Source organism: Homo sapiens, chromosome 6 (genome assembly GCF_000001405.40).
Source record: "Homo sapiens chromosome 6, GRCh38.p14 Primary Assembly".
In the NCBI taxonomy this organism is placed as follows: Eukaryota; Metazoa; Chordata; class Mammalia; order Primates; family Hominidae; genus Homo; species Homo sapiens.
Genome location: NC_000006.12, coordinates 138756740 through 138768807, shown reverse-complemented (window position 1 = coordinate 138768807; position 12068 = coordinate 138756740). Strand labels below are relative to the sequence as shown.

General features: G+C 40.5%; 1 long non-coding RNA gene across 3 annotated transcripts in view, besides 1 other annotated feature; it reads left to right on the top strand.

Annotated features, from left to right (window-relative positions):
* CCDC28A-AS1 (CCDC28A antisense RNA 1) overlaps positions 1-12068 on the top strand; it is a 48489-nt gene that overhangs the window by 4896 nt on the left and 31525 nt on the right. For all 3 annotated transcript variants that reach the window (NR_161205.1, NR_161203.1, NR_161204.1), the window contains exon 2: positions 4430-4551. This is a non-coding gene — a long non-coding RNA (CCDC28A antisense RNA 1). The remainder of the gene's footprint in view (positions 1-4429; positions 4552-12068) is intronic.
* Positions 63-122: an enhancer, noted in NCBI's record as "active region_25160". NCBI's record gives its function as "activates an Ori minimal core promoter by ATAC-STARR-seq in GM12878 lymphoblastoid cells {active_cell/tissue: GM12878}" and the evidence as "EXISTENCE:reporter gene assay evidence [ECO:0000049][PMID:35858748]".

Sequence of the window (12068 nt, the reverse complement as noted above, 5' to 3'; positions counted from 1 at the left end):
TTTGGGAACTGTTAATAGTGAAAGGAAGAACCACGTGGTGAAGAGCTGGGAGCCACCATTTATGGAGGAGCATGGTATGGTGTCATGGAAAGTGCACCAGACCGGGAGTTGGGGGAAACCCCATCTCTTGTCTACTCCAGGCTGTACACTTTTTTTTTTTTGAGACAGAGTCTCACTCTGTCACCAGGCTGGAGTGCAGTGGCAGAATCTTGGCTCACTGCAACCTCCGCCTCCCAAGTTCAAGCGATTCTCGTGCCTCAGCCTTCTGAATATCTGGGATTACAGGCAGGTGCCACCACACCCAGCTAATTTTTGTATTTTTAGTAAAGACGGGATTTTACCATGTTGGCCAGGAAGGTCTCCATCTCCTGACCTCGTGATCCCCCCGCCTCAGCCTCCCAAAGTGCTGGGATTACAGGCATGAGCCACTGTGCCCAGCCTCTAGGCTGTACATCTTAAGTATTAGTGAGAGGCCCAAAAATGAACACAGAGGCCCTTACCAATTTAAGTATTTTGTTGTTGTTGTTGTTGTTAATGGCTTTGGAAAAACAAGGGGCAAAATCAGACTTTAAAAGTTATATGGGCCAGGTGCGGTGGCTCATGCCTGTAATCCCAGCACTTTGGGAGGCTGAGGCAGGCGGATCACAAGGTCAAGAGATGGAGACCATCCTGGCCAACATGGTGAAACCGTGTCTCTACTAAAAATACAAAAATTAGCTGGGTGTGGTGGCACATGCCTGTAGTCCCAGCTACTCGGGAGGCTGAGGCAGGAGAATCGCTTGAACATGGGAGGCGGAGGTTGCAGTGAGCCGAGATTGTGCCACTGCACTCCAGCCTGGTGACAGTGCAAGACTCCATCTCAAAAAAAAAAAAAAAATAATAAGTTATATGGATAGACATTTACAACATTCCTACATATATGGTTTTTTATAAACTGCCTTCATCACTAGGCTATAACTTCCTTGAGGGCAAATATGTTTTATTTGATTTTTGTATCCTAAGCACATTGCAAAGAACATAACATAAAGTAGGTGCTCAATAAATGAGGTAGGAATGAATGAAACTTCCTGATTTTATTTCCGAAAGTAAAGTGATTCCAGCAACCCCTCTTTAAACCAAAGTAGGCCCAGTCATAATGCTAATCAGATGGCATCACTACTGCCCAGGCAAGTGCTCTTTTTTTCTTAGCAGAGCAATTCTGGCTACACCGGCCTTTCTGCCAAGTGGTTTGAAGAAGGAAACCATCCTAAAGCTTAGGGGAATCATTGACTGATTGGTTCTTTAAAAAACAAAACAAAACAAAAAAAAACGTAATATTTGGGATGGTTTCAGGTTATGATTCTACAAAATTTACTTTTAATCCAACTTCAAGTTCAGACTTCCTTTTTAAGGCCAAGAGTAAACAGGATTAGGGGATGGTTATCAGCAAGATAGGAAGATGATTCGTTCTCCCAGTATCCTGTATCCAGGTTCTTGGTTCTTGCCACATGAACACTCCAGCTTTAGAAGAAGGTTTGTGTTACAGACTTAACCAGACAGCAAAGGATATCATGGGTAAGCAGACTGGCAGTAGTGCATTACAACCCTTCCTTCAGTTTTCTCTCTTTTTCTTGAATTTTAGTCCAAATTCAGCAGTATTATCATGGAGAACCACAAGGCTGCTAAGAAATATGTGTAGAGATAGCTTACAATATAGCAGAGGAAGAGGAAGGAAGGGAGGCGAGAAAGAAGAAAGGAAAGAAGGAGAAGAAAGAGAGGGAAGGAGGAAGGGAAGCAAAGAAAAAGCTTCCATAACACTTCGTTTATATCTCTATTTTAAAGTATTTGTTTAAAACCCAAACTGCTACCACTCTGAATTTTAAGAAATTGGCATAATTCCTGTCAGTGGGGAAATATTAAATATAGGGGCAAGAGAAGGGATGAGACTCTAGGTAGAAGACCCATTGTGTTGTCTGAGAGTTGGATGTGCACAGGTGGGCAGGAGGCTGAGTTTAAGGATATGAGATTGAGAACATTGAATTATTCTGTATAATAAAGTTGGAAGAATTGTTCACTGGGGTGAGTTTGGGGGTTGGGATTATTGCTAAGAGATAGCCAAAAAAAAAAAGAGGTCAGAGGCAGAGGGAGAAAGGCCTGTCAAAGTGGTAGGAAGGAGGAAGACTTTAAAAAGAGAAAGTCTGTTATTCAATTTGCAACTGTTAATGTTACTGTAAATGCACACACTGACACACACACAGGCACACACATCCCCCATGCTCCCAGACAGCAACATAAGTCCTCTATAAGCTCACAGCTTGTCATGAATGAATCATTATGATAATCAAAGAAAAGGGGTTGTGTTCCACATCTTTGGGAGATTTCATGGAGATTGAAGATGAAATGTGTGTAACAATAAGGAAGTCCAAAAACTGAACTGTGTCAGATGAAGCAGGAGCTTAGACTAAGTCCAAGTTGAATGGGAAAATGACAAACCGCTCGAAGGAAGTAGGTCGTATACATCTTTATATTCTCAAAGCTTAGTATAGTGTCTGGCATGTAACAGAAACTTAACAAATGTTCATTAAATGAATGAATAAATGAGGAAAAATTAGATTCATATGATACCAAGTGGCAGAATGGCATTATTAAATCAAGTGTCAACATAACTCACATTTCTTATTCCAGAATTGGAAATCAGGTTCATCTTAGTCATACCTGCCTCTGATCTCCAGGTGGCAGTATTTTATCATATTAAATTGTTTTGAGACCACAGATTCCATTTACTTTTTGAGAAAGGAGAACAGAAATGTATTTAAAATAAAAATTCAATTCTGTAGCTCATTTCTATAATTGTACAGAACTAAGTAAGTGATAGAATATGATTACATGAGATTATAGATTTATTCCCCAATTTCAATATAAATGAGAATTATTGGTAGTTCCTGAATTCAACCAGTTTCCTAAACCTTGAAGGTAAATACAAATTGGTGTGCTTTGTTTACAAAATGTATGGATTTCTTCAAAGTATGAAAATCTGTGTGTGTGTGTGTTTGTGAGAGAGAGAGTGAGAAAGAGTGAGAGAGAGGAGAGAGAGAGACACAGGGACAGAAAGAGACAGAGAGCAGTAATATGTTTAGAAGTAATTCACTTCCAGGCCAAGCACGGTGGCTCATTCCTGTAATCCTAGCATTTTGGGAGGCTGAGATGGAAGCATCGCTTGAGCCCAGGAGTTCAAGACCAACCTGGGCAACACAGTGAGACCCTATTTTTTTTCATAAAGAAGTAATTAACTTTCAACAAACAGGGTAACCAGATTAAGTAGAATGGCCAGTCAAATCTAAGTTTCAGATAAACAAGGAATACTTTATTCATATGTCTCATGCAATATGTAGTGCATACACTAAAAAAGTCTTCCTTGTTTTTCTGAAATTCAGATTTAACTGAGAGATCTGTAATTTCCTTAGCTAAATCTGGCAACCTTACCAACAAATATTCTGTTGTTACTGTTAATTCCAAAATAACAGAACGTTAAGGGAGGCCCCACTTCTACCAAAAATAAAAAATTTAGCCTGACACAGTGGTGTGCACCTGTAGTTAACAGCGATTTGGGAGGCTGAGGCAGGAGGATTGCTTGAGCCCAGGCGTTCGAAGTGGTAGTGCACCATGATGGTGCCATTGCACTCCAGCCTAGGTGATAAGAGTGAGACTCTATCTCTAAATAAATAAACAAATAAATAAAACAAAACAGAACTTCAAGTCTGCAAGGCAAAAAATGGTGTTTCCTTATTTGGAGAGATAAAAAGGAATTAGCAGGCAGGGGCAGCTTTCTTGTAAGTCTAACTTGATTGCTTTTTGTGCTCTACCAGTTTGGAGTCAAGCCCCTCAGCTGAGTAACTTATCTTCGGGAAACTGAGCTCTCTAGCAAGTGCAGATGGTAAAGCCTAATTATTTTATATACATGCAGTGTTTTACAGCACCTGTGAGTCTGGTTGCAAAAGCCAGACCCTGTGAACAATGGAAAAGATCCCAGGCCCCTTCACCCTCTAATTTATATTTTCCAGGAGTACCTGATCCATAGCAGCTATGATAACAGAAACAGATGAATTGCTTAGGAAGTAAATTCTCTTTCAAAATGTAAAGGACTTTCTGGTAAATCAAATGAGATATAGATTTATACACATTTGGATATTTAATATAAACATTCTGTCTTCCAGGTAAACTGTGCTTCAAAATTTCATTTGTAAATAAATTCCTGAACTCAAATAAATTTTCCATAGAAACAATATTATGAGTGGCAGTCAGGTCTTTTGGTTACCTAGTAAAGGTATATAATTAATTGATTATATGAGTGAAACACTGTATTTGCAGTTAAAAGTATGTTTTTTTTTTAAAAAAAAAAGGTTGTATTTTTTAAGAGTAAAAATTTAAAAAGCTTTTTTTTTTCTTTCAGACAGAGTCTTGCTGTGTCGCCCAAGCTAGAGTGCAGTGGTGTCATCTGGGCTCATTGCAACCTCCGCTTCCTGGATTCAAGCAATTCTCATGCCACAGCCTCCCAAGTAGCTGGGACTACAGGTGCGCACCACCATGCCTGACTAATTTTTGTATTTTTAGTAGAGACAGGGTTTCACCATGCTGGCCAGGCTGGTCTCGAACTCCTGACCTCAAGTGATCCACCTGCCTCAGCCTCCGAAAGTGCTGGGATTGCAGGTGTGAGCCACCATGTCCGCCCATTGAAAAGCTCTTTAAATATTGAATGCTCATGTTTGAAAAAATATAACCTATGTTTATTTTGCTCTTGCCTTGTTCCTGACCATTCTTAAGTGCTTATATGAATTAACCCTTTTAGTTCGTGTAACCCTAAGAGGCAGATTCCTTTATGATCCCTCTTTACAGATAAGGAAATTGGGGCAAAGGTTAAACAGCTGCTCCAAATTATACAGCTACTGAATAGTGGAAATGGGATTTGGACCAACCACAAGCACATTAACCACTGTACACTACAGTTTCATTAGCTTAGGATAAAGAAGGACCTGAACCATCTGAGAAGATTGTGAAGGGGACATCTGATGACCATCTAGGATGGTACATGGTGGTCTCTGAGTCTAGAACGGTTCAAGGTAAATGGCTGGTCTTTCCCTTAATTTAGGTATATGATGAATAGTACTTTTGTGCTTGTCAACTGTAATGGAGTTGTTTTGGAGTTTATAAATGGAACAAACGCTGTCAGAAAGAGAAAGATTTACTTGAGTAACTGGATAATGGTTAATAAAAGGTGGAAGAGGATTAACAAGTACATGCTTGTGGGGTGTGAGAAAGAGATTGCTGGGGTGGAAATAACTGAGCTGAGACCTGGAAAGAAAAAACAGGGAAGAATTTGACTTTACATAATTATTTACATGAAAAGGGAGGGGAAAATGGAAGGGATATTGCCCTGTATTATGGTTTGTTCTAACTTGTTCAGATGTATGACAACCCACTGTGGTTCATGTACCACAGCCATGGCAATAGTGGACTTACCAGGGGCCCCTACTCCAGATGATGGTCTTATGTCCTTAAGAAAGAGTCCAATTTCGACCTCAAAGTAGTTGTCTTTGGACACCCCTTCTACCCTCTTTCCTCTCCCAGAGCATTAGATATGAGGTCATGAGAGTGAAGGGGAAAGAGTCCTGGACTTATTGTTGGGGGAACAGAGTTCCAACTCTGCTACCTAACTAGTTCTCCTTTTGTGAGTTAAAGTCTTTGAGCCCCTCTTTCCTAAGCTGCGAAAACGGATGATTTTACCCACTTCATGGTTTTGTTGTAAGCATTAGGTGAGGTGCTGTATGTGAGAGCATTGAATAGAAAGCATGACTGGGGGGTCAGGAGGGGCAAGGGTGACCCTTCCTGTGATCCATACTCATCTGTGGCCACGATAGGGGCCTCTCTCCCTTAACCACCAGTAACTGTTGAACAAGGGAAGGATCTAGATATTTATTTACCATCTACTATGTATGCTATAGAATGTTAGTGTTAGCCAGGAAACTGGGTTCAGAGATGGGCTGCCTGGGTTCAAATCCTAGTTCTAGCTGTGTAATTTTGGGCAAATAATTTGAACTCTCAGAACCCCGTTTCTTTCCTGTGAAGTTGGAGTCATAATGAGACCTTCCTCAGAGGTTAGCTGTGAGGTGGGAGACAGTCTGTAGGAGTTCACAGTCTATTGGGAGAGTCAGGTTTGTAAACAAGCAATCACAATGCACCATGTGGTAAAGTGCAGTCATGGAGACAGGAATAAAATGCTTTGGTAGCATGGGGAGGGGAGGAAGGGGGGACTAACCTGGCATAAAGGTTCAATGAGAGACATGAGATGTGTGTGTGTGTGTGTGTGTGTGTGTGTGTGTTCATATGTATATATAGACACATACACCTTTTTGGGCAAACAAAACCGTTCCTGTCTTCAGGCCTAAGGATGAAGCTAAACTGGCTCACCAGGTCCTTTATGCCTGGGCTCTGTGATCTCCACACCCCCTTACTCTGCCGCCACTTGCTATTCTCTGTCTTTGGAGGCACTTCCATGACTCTGTTTTTGCACATTCTGTTCCCTGACGTAGAATGCTCTTCCATATCTAAACACCTCCAGAGCTCAACAGAGATAACAAAAATATCAAGAGTGCAAGAATAGCCAAATAAACAATACAAATAATTTCAGCAGTTTAAAGTTAATAAATACCCGTGATTTACATGCACAGTCTCATCTATGCCTTTTTGGTTTTTCTTCTTTTTTTTTTTTTTTGATACGGAGTTTCCCTTTGTTGCCCAGGCTGGAGTGCAGTGGCGCGATCTCAGCTCACCGCAACCTCCACATCCCGGGTTCAAGCGATTCTTCTGCCTCAGCCTCCTGAGTAGCTGGGATTGCAGGTGCTGCCACAATGCCCGGCTACCATCTAAGCCTTTTCAAAACCTTAGAAGACAAGTACTGTATTTAACCCAATTTGAAAGTGAGGATTATTGAAGGTAAAATATACTAACTAGCCTTTTGTAAGTCACACAACCAGCCAGTAGTACAGCTAGGATTTTTACCTAGCTCTGGCTAATCCTAGAGCTCACCTCTTAACTTCTGTTGTCTCTCAAAATTAATTCCTTGGGCTGAGCATGGTGGTGCATGCCTGTAATCCCAGCACTTTGGTAGGCTGAGGCAGGCAGACCACATGAGGTCAAGAGTTTGAGACCAGCCTGGCCAACATGGCAAAACCCTGTCTCTACTGAAAATACAAAAATTAGCCAGGCGTGGCGGTACATGCCTATAGTCCCTGCTACTCAGGAGGCTGAGGCAGGAGAATCACTTGAGCCTGGGAGGTGGAGGTTGCAGTGAGCTGAGATTGTACCACTGCACTCCAGCCTGGGTGACAGGGCGAGACTCTGTCTAAAAAAAAGGCCGGGCGCAGTGGCTCACGCCTGTAATTCCAGCACTTTGGGAGGCCAAGGTGGGCAGATCACCTGAGGTCAGGAGTTTGAGACCAGGCTGACCAACATGGAAAAACCCCGTCTCTACTAAAAATACAAAATTAGGAGGGCGTGGTGGCGCATGCCTGTAATCCCAGCTACTCAGGAGACTGAGGCAGGAGAATCATTTGAACCCAGGAGGCAGAGGTTGCGGTGAGCTGAGATTGTGCCATTGCACTCCAGCCTGGGCAACAAGAGCAAAATTCCATCTCAAAAAAATAAAAATAAAAATAAAATTTAACTCCTTAGTAAAGTAATTCTGCAACTTAAATATCAAAAACAAAAATTGTCCTCATATGTAATCTGTTAGTTTTATTGCCTCTCTTATTACAATACCCATCATAATTTTTTTACTTTTATTTTTCTAAATTGCAAAAGTAAAGTTTATTATAGAGTTAGAAAATGTAAATAACCAATATAACAAGAGTAAGGAAATTATTATCCAAAATTTCACATTCTAAAGGGGAAAACCCCAATTTTAATCAATAGGGTACATCCTGTATGATTTCATTTATATGATATCCTAGAAAAGGCCGAAACTATAGGGAAAGAAACAGTGGTTGCCAGGATCTGGGCTACAAAAAGCATCAGGGCTAATGGGAATGTCCTATATGTTGATTGTGGTGGTAGTTACATGAGTATATGTTTTATTAAAATTAATAGAACTGTACACTAAAAATAGTACATTTTATTATTTATAAATTATAACTCAATAAACCTGACTGAAAAACATTAACACCTTGCCATATATCTTTCCACTTCCACACTTTTTCCTATGCATATATATCTTTTTATTTTGTAGAGACGGAGTCTCACTCTGTCACCCAGACTGGAGTGCAGTGGTGTGATCTCAGCTCACTCCAACCTCTGCCTCCTGGGTTCAAGAGATTCTCACACCTCAGCCTCCCGAGCAGCTGGGATTACAGGCACTCACCACCACACCTGGCTGATTTTTGTATTTTTAGTAGAGATGGGGTTTTACCATGTTAGCCAGACTGTTCTTGAACTCCTGACCTCAGCCCATCTTGGCCTCCCAAAGTGCTGGGATTACAGGCGTGAGCCGCTGCACTCGGCCAGTAAATATATATCTTCTAAAAATAGTTTACACTATATTGTTTTTCATTAAATATACTTTAGTTTTTAAAGCACTTCTAGACTTATAGGAAAATTGCAAAGACAGTACGGGGGTCCCATATTCATTCCACCACATTATTAACGTGTTACATTAGTGTGATACATTTGTTACGATTAATGAGCCAATATTGATGCATTGTTAGCTGAAATCTGTAGATTATTGTGATTTCCTTAGTGTTTACCTCATGTTATTTTTCTGTTTTAGAATCCCATCCAGGATACCACATTACTTTTTGTTGTCATATCTCCTTAGAGACCTCTTGGTTGTGACAGTTTCTAGGGTTTCCTGTGTTGATGACTGATATGATTTGGCTCCGTGTCCCCCTCCAAATCTCATCTCGAATTGTAATCCCCGTGTGTTGAGGGAGGGAAGTGATTGGATTATGGGGTCAGTTTCCCCCATGCTGTTCTCATGATAATGAGTGAATTCTCAGGAGATCTGATAGTTTTATAAATGGTAGCTTTTCCTGGACTCTCACACTCACTCCATCCTGCTGCCTTGTGAAGGTGCCTTGCTTCCCCTTTGGCCGTGATTGTAAGTTTCCTGAGGCCTCCCCAGCCATGTGGAATTGTGAATCCATTAAACCTCTTTCCTTTATAAATTACCCAGTCTCAGGTATTTCTTTATAGCAGTGTGAAAACAGACTAATTACAGAGAACTTGGAAATTTTGAAGAGTACTGGTCAGGGATATTGTAGGATGCCCCTTTATTGGAATTTACTTTTCTGATGTTTTTCCCATAGTTAGACTGGGGTGATAGGTTTTGGGGAGAAAGACCACAGAGGAAAAGTACCATTTTCATCGCATCTATTTTATGTTTTGTAACCTTTTTTTGCTCATATATGTGTCAAAGGCATATTTTTTACTTGATACGTATAAATCTGTAGCCTTCTTGATGGTGATAATTGTATTCTGTTGTATGGATGTAGCATATAATCACCTATTACTGGACACTCAGGGATTCACTGTGGCATTTTCACTATTACAACCAATGCTACAATAGATATATTTGTGCGAACATCTTTGCAAATTTGTCCAATAATTATTATTATGTTTAGACACTGGTTCTCACTTTGTCGCCCTGGCTGGAGTGCACTAGTGTGATCAAAGCCCACTGTGGCCTTGAACTGCTGGGCTCAAGTAATCCTCCCTCCTCAGCCTCCCAAGTAGTTGGGCCTACAGGTACACCCCACCATGCCTGGCTACTTTTCAAAATATGTTTCTTAGAGATGGGGTCTTCCTATATTGCCCATGATGGTCACAATTGTCTGATTGTTTTATTAGATAATTCTTAGTGATGTAGAGTGTCTGAAGCAAACTGCATTCACTTTATTTTTTAAAGGGCTTTTGGTACATAGTACTAAATTTTCCTCCAGAAAAATTGTTACCTATTCAGTGCTCTGTTTCCTCAAATTCTAGCTAATACTGGATATTATTTTTCATTTCAACCTTTGCCAATTGTAGTAGAAAAATGTATTGTGTTGCATTGTATTTAATTGTTTCCCTATTGGTATTTTCTTCCAGATAGTGAGCTCCTAAAGGAAAAAGACTATATTCTATTCATTTTTAGATACACGGAGTCTAAGTTACTGCCTAAAAGAAATAGGCACTCAGCAGAAGGGAGAGAGGGAGCAGGGAGAGAGGGAGGGCCTGAATCCAAGAGCGATTGTGTGATCTGACAAGATAATTCATGCTAAGGAGAGGAAGGGTTTTCACCATCACTGGGTGCAATTGTATCCTTCTGGGCCAATGGCCCATATGTATTATGTAATCTGAAGGGGTGGCACTACTAGTGTGAGCTTCAGACCAGGTAGGAGAGAAATCTACACTAGACCAAAAGAAGGTAAACAGGATCTTAGTGTTTTCCTCATATAGCAAGAACAATAACTAGGGATTTGTTTGGCCAATTCTGAAAGGGAGGATCACCCTACATTCCCTTTAAGCTGTAATGTCATTCATGTATTCTCTAGTACAGCCTTTTGAAACAATTAGGTACATTTGTGATTTTCAGATCTTTTCCTATTTTCCTTCTTCCTGTCAGTACCATCTTATGTATGTCACCTTGCGTATTTTCAGTCACGGCTGCCAAAAATTTTATTGTTTTCTCCCTGCACACTTCCCCAATATTTTATTTATACATTTTCTTATAAAACCTTGACTTTCTCTTCTTCTACATGCTTTGAAGCTCTTCCTAAATCTTGATGTCACTTATAAATTTACTATACCAACAAAGTGATAAATGTTACTTTTTCAATTTATCACTGGAAGAATGATAAATTGAAACAGTATAGAAAAGGAATATGTGTTTTTGGCCAGGTGTGGTGGCTCACACCTGTAATCCCAGCACTTTGGGAGGCCAAGGTGGACAGATCACCTGAGGTCAGAAGTTTGAGACCAGCCTGGCCAACACAGTGAAACCCCATCTCTACTAAAAATACAAAAAATTAGCTGGGTGTGGTGGTGGGTGCCTGTAATTCCAGCTACTTGGGAGGCTGAGGCAGGAGAATCGCATGAACCCAGGGGGTGAAGGTTGCAGTGGGCTGAGATCACGCCATTGCACTCCAGCCTGGGCAACAAGAGTGAAACTCCGTCTTAAAAAAAAAAAAAAGAAGAAGAAGAAAAGAAAAGAAAGGAATATGTATTTTTATATTAAATATTTTAGTTTTATTTTCCAGTTTTGCAAGGTTGATTCATTTAGTAGGGTCTGAAAAAAGAAAAATGTTCTTGGAATGCTGATGGTAATTCAGTAATTGTTAAATTTTTCAATTTTCCATCGGAGATTTTCTCAAGAGGACTCTGTTTAGAGTACACTTCCTATCTAAGAATTCCCATATGTGCTTTACAGAGATTCCACGTCCCTGCCAGTTATCATTTACTCTCTCCCTGGAATGTGGGAGTGCCCTTACTGTTCTTCCAGTCTGACCTAACAGAGACTAGGCCCCAACTTGTGAGACAGAATTTGTTTCCTGCTAAATAAAACAACATTTTTTCACAAATTAGCAAAATGATTAAAAAAAAGAGAGCATATTACACACTAGCAAACGATAAAGAGAAATTCGAAGAACCAGACATGTTTTTGGAGTAAGAAGTTCTACAGTGTTAAAATTAATTTACCATCTTTTTATGGTCTATAATGAATCTCTCTATTTATTTTTTGTTTATTTTTATTTATTTATTTTTTTTGAGACAGAGTCTTGCTCTGTCGTCCAGGCTAGAGTGCAGTGGTGTGATCTCGGCTCACTGCAACCTCTGCCTCCCGGGTTCAAGTGATTCTCCTGCCTCAGCCTCCCGAGTAGCTGGGATTACAGGCACCCACCACCATGCCCAGCTAATTTTTGTATTTTTTAGTAGAGATGGGTTTCACCATCTTAGCCAGGCTGGTCTCGAACTCCTAACCTCATGATCCACCTGCCTTGGCCTCCGAAAGTGCTGGGATTACAGGCATGAGCCACCGTGCCTGGCCTATTTATTTATTT